Source organism: Homo sapiens, chromosome 1 (genome assembly GCF_000001405.40).
Source record: "Homo sapiens chromosome 1, GRCh38.p14 Primary Assembly".
Taxonomy (NCBI): Eukaryota; Metazoa; Chordata; class Mammalia; order Primates; family Hominidae; genus Homo; species Homo sapiens.
In genome coordinates, this window is record NC_000001.11 from 227,815,440 (window position 1) to 227,827,925 (window position 12,486).

Here is a 12,486-nt window from a genome sequence, read left to right on the forward strand (position 1 = left end):
CTAGGCATATGAGGTATGGTTGGGGCACTGTCACATGTCCAGCTTGGGAGCCATCATGTGCCCAGGTCGGGAGAGGTAAATCCACGAGACACAGACATGTGCTGGGGGTGCAGTCGCATGTCCAGGTCAGGTGCCCTCACTTGCTGGGAGTGCCATCTGCTAGTGGGAGCCAGTCACATGTTGGGGTGCAACCACCTGTTGGGGGCGCAATCCTGTGCTGGAGACACAGTCACATGTCGGGAGCTAGTCACCCGCTGGGGGCGCTGCCTCGAGCCTCATGGCTGCCCCTGCTTCCGTCATGGGCCCACTCGGGCCCTCTGCCCTGGGCCTTCTGCTGCTGCTCCTGGTGGTGGCCCCTCCCCGGGTCGCAGCATTGGTCCACAGACAGCCAGAGAACCAGGGAATCTCCCTAACTGGCAGCGTGGGTAGGCCCTGCCCCAGGGGCGGATGGGCGGCTGGAGACAGTGCCCTTGGGGCGTCTGTCGGTGCTGGGCCTCCTCCCCCATGTCGCCTGCCCATCCCTTCCCCTCCCCCATGTCCCCTGCCTTCCCTTCCTCCTGTGTCCCCTGCCCCTCCCCCACGTCCCCTGCCTGCCCTACCTCTCCCGTGGCCCCAGCATGGCTCCACCGTCAGCTCCGTTCTCCCTGCAGCCTGTGGTCGGCCCAGCATGGAGGGGAAAATCCTGGGCGGCGTCCCTGCGCCCGAGAGGAAGTGGCCGTGGCAGGTCAGCGTGCACTACGCAGGCCTCCACGTCTGCGGCGGCTCCATCCTCAATGAGTACTGGGTGCTGTCAGCTGCGCACTGCTTTCACAGGTAAGCGGGCGCCGGCCTGGGATGGTGTGGGTAGCTGGGCCTGCACGGAGTGCCCACAGCGGCTTGGATGGACCCCACGCAAGCCTCCCCCATCACCATTGTCGACTCCCTTCACCACTGTCGACCCGCGCAAGGCCAGGTCCCCACCAGTGAGGCTGGTCCCCAAACACACAGCTGGGTCCCCATTCTTGAGGCTGGTCCCCCAAGTGCACAGCCAGGTCCTCAAGAGTGATGCTGGTCCCCAAGATCACAGCCAGGTCCTCATATGCAAGGCTGATCCCCTAAGTGTACAGTTAGGTTCCCATGAGCTAGGTTGGTCCTCAAATGCACAGCCTGGTCCCCATGTGCAAGGCTGGTCCCCTAAGTGCACGACCAGGTCCCCACGAGTGAGGCTGGTCCTCAAGGGCACAGCCAGATTCCCACAAGTGAGGCTGGTCCTCAAGGGCACAGCCAGATTCCCACAAGTGAGGCTGGTCCTCAAGTGCACAGCCAGGTCCCACAAAAGTGAGGCTGCTCCTCAAGTGCACAGCCAGGTCCTCATAAGCAAGGCTGGTCTCTAAGCACCTGGCCTTCCCGATTGCTCCTCCAACAGCCCCATTCACCACAGCTGCCCCGCACAGCAGGCACGCCTCTCCTGTGGCCATCTGGCCTCCAGAGGGATGTGTGCAACCAGGTTGTCAGTAAGAGTCAGAGCAGGTCTCACATGCATGGGCTGCTGGCCTGTACAGCTGGTGGTCGTGTACAGACTTGGGTCCCCAGAGCCTCCATGGGCCAAGTCGACTCTTTAGGGGGCAACTCTTCCAGACAGCCAGATAGGTCCCTACTATGCTGCAGGAAGAAACTGGCTTTTCAATCCCACCGAGTGAGTGCCAGCCCCTTGCGCTTGGCCTCCCCAGGCCTGTGGGCTGACCACACAGGAAGCTGCGGGCATTGTACCTCTGTTCTCACCCCCACAGGGACAAGAATATCAAAATCTATGACATGTACGTAGGCCTCGTAAACCTCAGGGTGGCCGGCAACCACACCCAGTGGTATGAGGTGAACAGGGTGATCCTGCACCCCACATATGAGATGTACCACCCCATCGGAGGTGACGTGGCCCTGGTGCAGCTGAAGACCCGCATTGTGTTTTCTGAGTCCGTGCTCCCGGTTTGCCTTGCAACTCCAGAAGTGAACCTTACCAGTGCCAATTGCTGGGCTACGGGATGGGGACTAGTCTCAAAACAAGGTAGGAATACAGTGCAGGGCTTTGTGGGCAGGATGAAGGCTTCTCTTCCACCACAGGGAAGAAAATGCTCTGCCAGCTAAGGGGGTCCAGGTGTTTGGGGACTGGAATCCCCACCTGTCAATCAACATTTATTTGTTTGTCAGTGTGGATATTTTGTTGTTTTGTTTTATTTCTGACTGGCTTTGTTGTATGCAGAAAAATACAGCTACTTTGATGTGAAGTTGGTATGCAGTATATCAAGAACACAAATTTAAAAGCAGTTTTCCTTAAGATTGTAAACGGAATTTAGAAATCTCTTTTAGCTTATCTAAAAACCGTTTGTTATTAAACTTTTCTCCAGAAAGGCCTGTGCATTCTTTCTAGATTTATACCTGGGCACTTTACAATATTTAGGTCTATTCAAAAGAGATTTTTAAAATTGCATTTGCTAATTAGTCACAGCTAATTAGCTGTGACTATGTGTGATTTTTGCACATTGATCTTATATCCAGTCATCTTATAGAATTTATTTTTAGTAGTTTATCAACTGATTATTTTGACAGTTCTAGACAAAAGATAATATTTTCTTCTAGTAAAGACTATTTTATCACTCTCTTCCCATATTTTATCTTTTATTTATTTTTCTTGTCTTCTTACAATGGTTGGAACCTCCAGTAGAAATGATGCCAGATCTTGTCTTGGTTTTGGTTTGATTGGAAATGCTTATAATGGTTCACTATAGCATTTGTGGCCAGGCCTGGAGATTTCAGGTTGATATATTACACCAGATTAAGAAAGTTACCTTTTATAGCTGATTTACTTAATTTTTAAAAAATTATAGAAAATTATTGATTTTATTGAAATGTTTGCGGCAACTCTTGAGAGGATCATATAGTTCTGCTCTTTTAATCTATTGATGCCAAGAATAGGCATTTAAGCTGGGTGCAGTGGCTCACACCTGTAAATCCCAGCACTTTGGGAGGCTGAGGTGGGAGGATCGCTTGAGCCCAGGAGTTTGAGACCAGCCTGGGCAACATAGTGAGATCCTGTCTCTACAAAAAATGCTGACTTAGCTGGGCTTGACGGCATGTGCCTGTAGTCCCAGCTACTCAGGAGGCTAACGTGGAAAGATCTCTTGATCCCAGAAGGTCAAGGCTGCAGTGAGCCAAAACTGCATATCTGCACCAAAGCCTGGGCAACAGTGAGACCTTCTCTCAAAAAAAAAAAAAAAAAAAAAAAACGTATTTAATGTGAGATGGGTCTAGAATTTTTTTTCTTAGCTGATTTTATCTTTGGCATGAGTGTACTGCTGACTTTGTAGAATGAATCAAAACTTTCCCATCTATTTGTATTCTCTGCAATAGTTTCTATTAAAGTAAAGATTAGCTATTTCTTGAAGGTTTGATGTGGCCATAAAACACTCTGATCCTAGTACCTTTTGCGGGTATAAATGATTACTCTGTCTTACTCTCTGTTATGGCTACTGGTTCATTCCAATTTTAAAATTTATTCTTAGGCCAATTTTGATGGATTATATTTTTCTAGAAAGTTGTTCATTTTATTCCAGATTTTGAATATAATGATATTGTGTAAGACTGTAATTCATGTGCTCTTATTATTACTTTTCTGACTTCTCTTAATTCCTTATCATAGTTGCCAAAATTGTCTATTCTATTGCCTTTTTTATATAAAACTACCTGCTACAGATTTTGCATTGGTGTATGTGGGGAGATGGTGGTGCATGGGACTTTATATGTTGGGTGCTTTGCTATTCACTCCTATAGCCATCTATTCATTCGTTAAACTTTTTATACTCTAAGTTTGCTTAACCAAACTTTTCTAATTTTTTGAGCTGAAAATACAAAAGATTCAACATTTCATACTTTTTCTATGAATAAATTGAAGATTATAGCTTTCAAAGTCTCCTTTGGTCATGTTACAGGCTTTGAATTCTTACATATTTGTTATTCGTTTCTCAAAAGTATGTGCACCCTATTTTGATTTTGTCTATATCCAAAAGTATAGGACAAAATTTTTCATATCTACAAAAAAGGCCATTGGAATTTTATAGGAATTGCATTGAATATTCAGACCATGTTGAGTAATGTTGACATTTTAACAATATTAAACCTGCCTATCCATAAACATGGAATGTATTTCCATTTATTTGAGTCTTTAATTTCTTTCAGCAATGATTTATAGATTCGAGTATGCAAGTTTTTCACCTCCTTCATTAAATTTATTTCCAAGGTATGTTATTATTTTAGATGCTATTGTAAATGAAATTGCTTTCATAACTATCTTTTTTGGATTGTTCTTTGGGGGTGTATAGGAACACAACTGATTTTTGGCCGGGTGCAGTGGCTCACGCCTGTAATCCCAGCACTTTGGGAGGCCAAGGCGGGCGGTTCACAAGGTCAAGAGATTGAGACTATCCTGGCCAACATGGTGAAACCCCGTCTCTACTAAAAATATAAAAATTAGCTGGGTGTGGTGGCACTTGCCTGTAATCCCAGCTACTTGGGAGGCTGAGGTAAGAGAATCACTTGAACCCAGGAGGTGGAGGTTGCAGTGAGCTGAGATCACGCCATTGCACTCCAGCCTGGGCAACAAGAGTGAAACTCCATCTCAAAAAAAAAAAAAAAAAAAAAAAAGCAACACAACTGATTTTTTTATGTGTTGGCCTTATACCCTGCAACTTTACTGAATTTGTTTATTATATGTAGTAGTTTTGTTTTTTTTTTAAAGATTAATTGGGATTTTCTATGTATAGGATCATGTCATCTATGAATAGAGATTGTTTTACTTCTTTGTTTCCAATTTGAATGGCTGTTATTTCTTTTCCTTGTCTAAATTATTTGTCTAGAATTTCTAGTACAAATTAAATAGCAGTGATCAAAGTGGAAATCCTTGTTTTGTTTCTGATCTCATGGGAAATGCTTTCAGTCTTTAACCATTGAATATGATGTTAGCTGTCAGTTTTTAAAAAAATGCCTTAATGTTGATGAAGTTTTTCTACATCAATTGAGATGATCCTATGTTGTCTTTTTTCGTTTATTCTATTAATGTATATTACATTGATTGATGTTCTTATGTTGAATTACACTTGTATTTCTTGGATAAATCTCGCTTTGTCATGGTTTTATATGCTGTTGGTTACAGTTTGCTAATATTTTGCTGAGGGTTTTTACATCTATATTCTTAAAGGTATGATCTGTAGTTATATTTTCTTATGGTGTCTTTGGCTTTGGCATCAGGATAATTCTTGTCTCATAGAATGAATTATGAAGTGTTGCTTCCTCTTCTATTTTTTTGGTGGAGTGTGATAAAGATTGATTAATTCTTCTTTAAATATTTGGTAGAATTTACCAGTGAAGCCATCTGGTCCTGTACTTTTCTTTGTTGGGAGATTCTTATTGTTGAATCAATCTCTTTACTTGTTATAGATCTTTTCAGATTTCCTATTTCTTCTGTGTAAGTTTAGATAATTCATACGTTTGTAGAAATTTGTCTATTTCATCCAAGTTATCTCATTTGCAAGATAAGTTATTTCACAAATTTATAATCATTTTTGTGCATTTGTTTTTTGAATCCTGTTGCAGATAAAAAGTGGAATTAAAAACCAAATAAAAAGTGGAATTAAAAACCAAACTCACTTATGAGTGAGAACATGTGGTGTTTTGGTTTTCTGTTCCTGTACTAGTTTGCTGAGGATAATGGCTTCCAACTCCATCCATGTCCCTGCAAAGGACATGATCTCATTTTTTTTTTTGCACAATATTCCATGGTATACATGTATCACATTTTTTTAATCCAGTCTATCATTGATGGGCATTTAGGTTGATTCCATGTCTTTGCCATTGTGAATAGTGCTGCAATAAATATATGCATGCATGTATCTTTATAATAGAATGATTTATATCATGGTTTAATGGTTTTTATATTTGCCCGTGCATTTACCTTTACCAAAGTCCTTTAATTTGTCATATGGCTTTGACTTACTGTTTTGTGTCCTTTCTTTTCAATGTGAAGCACTCCAGTTAGCATTTCCTCTATGGAAGATCTAGTGGTGCAGACTTCCATGGCTCTTGTTTATCCGTGAACGACTTAATTTCTCCCTCATTTCTGAAGGACGATGTTGTCAGATATAGGATTCTTGGTTGAAAGGTTTTTTCTTTTAGCACTTTAAGTACATCATAACACTGTCTTCTGATCTCCTTAGTTTTTTATGAGAAATTGGCTATTAATCTGATTGAGGATCCTTGTACATGACTAGACACTTCTCTCTTGCTCATTTCAAGATTCATTGCCTTTAGTTTTTGACAGTTTGATTATAATGTGTCTTGTTGGGGGTTATTTGAGTTTATAATACTTGAAGTTTGTTCAGTCTGAATTTGTAGATTTAAATATTTCAGCAGATTGCAAAATTTTGGACCATTATTTCTTCAAATATTCTTTCTACCTCATTCTGTCTCTCTTCTCCTTCTGAAAATACCATAACACATATGTGGTTCATTTGATGGTGTCCCAGGAGTCTCTTAGGCTCTCTTTACTTTCCTTCCTCTTTTTTCCTTTCTAATCCTTAGATTTTATAATCTGAATTGTCCCATCTTCAAGTTCACCTATGCTCTCTTGTGCTTGCTCAAATTGTCTGCTTTGCCCCTTTAGTGAAGTTTTCATTTCCATTATTTGCCATTTTAATGCCAAATATTCTGTTTGGTTCCTTTGATAATTTCTGTTTACTAATAGTATCTTTTTGTTCATATATTATTTTCCTGATTTTCTTTAATTCTTTGTCTATGTTTTCCCTTAGCTCTTTGAGCATATTTAATACACTTGTTTAAAGTCTTTGTCTAGACTTCTTTAGGGACAGTTTCTATCCACTTATTTTGTTTTCTTAAGTGGGCCATAGTTTTTTTCTGATTTTTGTTGTTATTATTACTATTATTGAAAACAGGAGTGTTGAGTTTTATACTTTTGAATATATAATGAATGTTATATGTGGCTGAATATTGATTATAATAATGTGTTAACTCTGGAAATAAGATTCTCTCCAACCCCAGGGTTTTCTGTGGTGTTTTGATTGTTGAAAGCTATAGTAGTCTGTTTAATGATTTTCCCAAACTATTTTGCAAAGACTGTATCCTTTCTCATGTGTGGTCACTGAAGTCGCTATTCCTTAGCTTCTGTTAGCTACTGTTTTGACAGTATTTTCTTGAATGCCAGGAGCTAAAAACCAACAAAACCAAAAATCTCTTCTTATGATCTTTGCAGGTTGGTCTGTGCCAAGGCACTTTTTCAATACTTAGCCATGCTTGCACCAAGCCTAGGGATCAGCCTGAGGTGAAAGTTTTGGTCTTCTCAGGTTTACTTATGAGCATGTGTCTTACCCTGGGCATGTTCATGGCCTTCTAAATTCCCTCAAGTACAGAGGTGCTTTTTCTAAAAATCTTTTCCAATTTATTTACTTTTTAAATTATGTATTTTTTATTTTTATAGATTTAGGAGGTACAAGTGCAGGTTTGCTACATGGATATATTGCATAGGGGTGAAGTCTGGGATTTTAGAGTAACCATCACCCAAATAGTGAACATTTTACCCAATAGGTAATTTCTCATCCCCCATCACCTTCCCATCCTCCTACCTTGCTGAGTCTCCAATGCATATTATTCCACTCTCTGTGTTGTGAACTTTATTTAGCTCCCACTCATAAGTGAGAAGAAGCATTATTTGACTTTCTGAATTATTTCACTTAAGATAATGGCCTCCAGTTCCATCCACATTGCTGCAAAAGACATGATTTTATTCCTTTTTATGGCTGAGTAGTATTCCATGGTGTGTATGATATATATTATTTATTTATACATATAATATAAAATAATATATATACACAAACACACCACATTTTCTTTATCCAATCATTTGTTGATGGGCACTTGGTTTGGTTCTATTTTTTTTCTTTTTTGTTCATGCTGTCCCTGGGTGGGCTCGAAGGTTGGTTCTATATTGACATAGTTTGGATGTTTGTTTCCTCCAAATCTCATGTTAAAATGTGCTCCCCAGTGTTTGAGGTGGGGCCAGTAGGAGGTGTTTGGATCATAGGGGTGGATTCCTCATGAATGGCTTGGTGCCATCTTTGCAGTAATGAGTGAATTCTTGCTCCATTTGGTTTGTGCAAAAGCTGGACTAATGTTTAAGAGCCTAACATCTCTCTTACTTCCTCTTGCATCATATGACATGCCTGCTTCCCTTTCACCTTCTTCCCTGATTGTAAGCTTCCTGAGGTCCTCACCAGAGGCAGATGCTGGCACTATACTTCTTGTACAGTCTGCAGAACTGTGAGCCAAAATAAACCTCTTTTCCTTATAATTTCCCCAGCCTCAGTTATCCTTTATAGCTATGCAAAACAGACTAATAGCCGTATTTTTGTTATTGCAAATAGTGCTGCAATAAACATGTGAGTGCAGGTATTTTTTGTACAGTGACTTATTTTCCTTTGGATAAATACCCAGTGGTGGGACTGCTGGATTGAATGGTAGCTCTATTTTTAGTTCTTTGAGAGATCTCTATATAGTTTTCAATAGAGGTTGTACTAATTTTCTTTTTTTTCTTCAACTTTTAAGTTCAGGGGTACATATGCAAGAGGTGCAGTTTTGTTATGTAGGTAAACATGTGCCATGGTGGTTTGCTGCACAAATTATCCCATCACCTAGGTATTAAGCCCAGCATCCATTAGCTGTTCTTCCTAATGCTTTCCCTCCCTCTATCCCCCCAAACAGGCCCCAGTGTGTGTTGTTTCCCCACTCCCTGTGTCCATGTGTTCTCATAATTCAGCTCCCACTTATGAGTGAGAACATGTGATGTTTGCTTTTCTGTTCCTGCGTTAGTTTGCTGAGGATAATGGCTTCCAACTCCATCCATGACCCTGAAAAGGACATGATCTCATTTTTTCATGGCTGCATAGTATTCCATGGTATACATGTACCACATTTTTTTATCCAGTCTATCATTGATGGGTATCTAGCTTGATTCCATGTCTTTGCTATTGTGAATAGTGCTGCAATGGACGTTTGCATGCATATATCTTTATAATAGGATGATTTATATTACTTTGGGAATATACCCAGTAATGAGATTGCTGGGTCAGATAGTATTTCTGCCTCTGGGTTTTTGAGGACTCGCCACACTGTCTTCTGCAATGGTTGAACTAATTTACACTCCCACCAACAATGTAAAAAATGTTCCTTTGTTCTTACAACCTCACCAGCATCTGTTGTTTCTTGACTTTTTAGTAATAGCCATTCTGACTGACATGAGATGGTATCTCATTGTGGTTTTGACTTGCATTTCTCTAATGATCAGTGATGTTGAGCTTTTTTTCATGTTTGTTGGCTGTATGTATGTCTTCTTTTGAGAAGTGTCTGTTCATGACCTTTGCTACTTTTTAATGGGGCTGTTTGTTTTTTTTCTTGTAAATTTGCTTAAGTTCCTTGTAGACTCTGGATATTAGACCTTTGTCAGATGGATAGATTGCAAAATTTTTCTCCCATTCTGTAGGTTGTCTGTTCACTCTGATGATAGTTTATTTTGCTGTGCAGAAGCTCTTTAGTTTAATTAGATCCCATTTGTCAATTTTTGCTTTTGTTGCAATTGCTTTTGGCATTTTTGTCATGAAACCTTTGCCTGTGCCTATGTCCTGAATGGTATTGCCTAGATTTTCTTCTAGGTTTTTTATTTTTTTGTTTTTTGAGAGAGTCTCAGTCTGTCACCAGGCTGGGCTGGAGTGCAGTAGAGTGATTTCAGCTCACTGCAACCTCCAACTCCCTGGTTCAAGCAATTGTCCTGCCTCAGCCTCTGGAGTAGCTGGGATTACAGGCACATGCCACCACGCCCAGCTAGTTTTTGTATTTTTAGTAGAGGCAGGGTTTCACCATGTTGGCTGGGATGGTCTCGATCTCCTGATCTTGTGATCTGCCCGCCTCAGCCTCCCAAAGTGCTGTGATTACAGGCGTAAGCCACCGCGTCTGGCCTCTAGGTTTTTTAAAGTTGTGGGTTTTACATTTAAGCCTTTAATCCATCTTGAGTTAATTTTTGTATGTGGTGTAAGGAAGGGGTCTAATTTCATCTTTCTGCATATGGCTAGCTAATTCTCCCAGCACCATTTATTAAATAGAGAATCCTTTTCCCATTGCTTGTTTTTGCCGGGTTTGTTGAAGATCAGATGATTGTAGGTGTGCAGTCTTATTTCTGAGTTTTCTATCCTGTTCTATTGGTCTATGTGTCTGTTCTTGTACCAGTACCATGCTGTTTTGGTTACTGTAGCCTTATAGTATCATTTGAAATTGGGTAGCATGGTGCCTCCAACTTCGTTCTTTTTGCTTAGGATTGTCTTGGCTATTCAGGCTTTTTTTTGTGTGCCATATGAATTTTAAAATAGTTTTCTTCTAATTCTGTGGAGAATGTCAATGGTAGTTTAATGGGAATAGTATTGAATCTATAAATTACTTTAGGCAATATGGTCATTTTCACAATATTGATTCTTCCTGTCTGTGAGCATGGAATGTTTCTCCGTTTGTTTGTGTCCCCTCTGATTTCTTTGAGCAGTGGTTTGTAGTTCTTTTTGAAGAGGTCCTTCACTTCCCTTGTTAGCTGTATTCCTAGGTATTTTATTCTTTCTGTAGCAATTATGAATGGGAATTCATTCATGATTTGGCTCTCTGCTTGCCTGTTGTCAGTGTATAGGAATGCTAGCAAGTTTTGCATATTGATTTTATATCATGAGACTTTGCTGAAGTTGCTTACCAGCTTAAGAAGCTTTTGGGCTGAGATGATGGGGTTTTCTAGATACAGGATCGTGTCATCTGCAAAGATAATTTGACTACTTCTCTTCCTATTTGAACACCGTTGATTTCTTTCTCTTGCCTAATTGCCCTGGACAGAACGTCCAATATTACGTTTAATAGAAGTGGTGAGGCCAAGTGCGGTGGCTAACGCCTGTAATCCCAACACTTTGGGAGGTTGAGGCGGGTGGATCACCTGAGGTTAGGAGTTCGAGAGCAGCCTGGCCCAACACGGTGAAACCCCATCTCTACTGAAAATATAAAAAAGTAGCTGTGCATGGTGGCATACATCTGTAGTCCCAGCTACTCGGGATGCTAAGGCAGGAGAATCACTTGAACCCGGGAGGCAGAGGTTGCAGTGAGCCGAGATAGTGCCACTGCACTCTAGCCTGAGTGACAGAGTGAACCTCCATCTCAAGAAAAAAAAAAAAGTGGTGAGAGAGGGCATTCTCTTGTGACGGTTTTCAAGGGCAATGACTGCCTCCAGCTTTTGCCCATTCAGTATGATATTGGCTGTGGGTTTGTCATATATGGCTCTTATTTTGAGGTCTGTTCCTTCAACACCTAGTTTAGAGTTTTTAACATGAAAGAATGTTTAATTTTACCAAAGGCCTTTTCTGCATTTATTGAGATAATCATATGGTTTTTGTCATTGGTTCTGCTTATGTGATGGATTACGTTTATTGACTTGCGTATGTCGAATCACCCTTGCATCCCAGGGATGAAGCCAACTTGATTGTAGTGGATAAGCTTTTTGATGTGCTGCTGGATTCGGTTTGCCAGTATATTGTTGAGGATTTTTGCATTGATGTTCATCAAGTATATTGACCTGAAGTTTTGTTGTGGTCATTGTAGTATCTCTGCCAGGTTTTGGTATCAGGATGATGCTGGCCTCATAGAACAAATTAGGAAGAAGTTCCTCCTTTCAATTTTTTGTAATGGTTTCAGTAGAAATGGAACTGGCTCTTCTTTGTACCTCTGGTAGAATTCAACTGCAAATCCATCAGGTCCTGGGCTTTTTTTGGTCGGTAGGCTATTTATTACTGCTTCAATTTCAGAACTTGTTATTGGTCTGTTCAGGGTTTCAATTTCTTCTTGGTTCAGTCTTGGGAGGGTGTATGTGTTCAGGAATTTATTTTCTAGTTTCTTTTCTAGATTTTTTTAGTTTATCTGCATAGAAGTGTTTATAGTGTTCTCTGATGGTTGTTTGTATTTCTGTGGGGTCAGTGGCAATATCCCTCTTATCATTTCTGATTGTGTTTATTTGATTCTTCTCTCTTTTCTTCTTTATTAGTCTAGCTAGTGATCTATCTTATTAATTTTTTTTTTTTTTAGAAAACCAGCTTCTGAATTCATTGATTTTTTGAAGGGTTTTCCATGTCTCTCTCTCATTCAGTTCAGCTCTGATCTTGGTTATTTCTTGTCTTCTGCTAGCTTTGGGGTTTTTTGCTCTTGGTTCTCTAGTTCTTTTAGTTGAGGTGTTAGGTTGTTAACTTCAGATCTTTCTAGCTTTTTGATGTGGGCATTTAGTGCTATAAATTTCTCTGTTACCACTGCTTTAGCTGTATCCCAGAGATTCTGATATGTTATCTCTTTGTTCTCATTAGTTTGAAAGAACTTCTTGAT

General features: G+C 40.5%; 1 protein-coding gene across 3 annotated transcripts in view; it reads left to right on the plus strand.

The window, feature by feature from the left end:
• The first annotated feature begins 235 nt into the window (after nt 1-235).
• Nucleotides 236-12,486, plus strand: part of PRSS38 (serine protease 38) — a 30,796-nt gene continuing 18,545 nt past the window's right edge. For 2 of the 3 annotated variants that reach the window (NM_183062.3, NM_001374657.2), the window contains exons 1-3: nt 236-425; nt 651-813; nt 1,770-2,041. In NM_183062.3, the coding sequence (NP_898885.1) occupies nt 278-425; nt 651-813; nt 1,770-2,041 (583 nt within the window). In that variant the 5' untranslated portion in view covers nt 236-277. Of the gene's footprint in view, nt 426-650; nt 814-1,769; nt 2,042-4,209; nt 4,271-12,486 lie in introns of all 3 variants that reach the window. The other variant, XM_011544175.3, reaches the window with a different exon arrangement.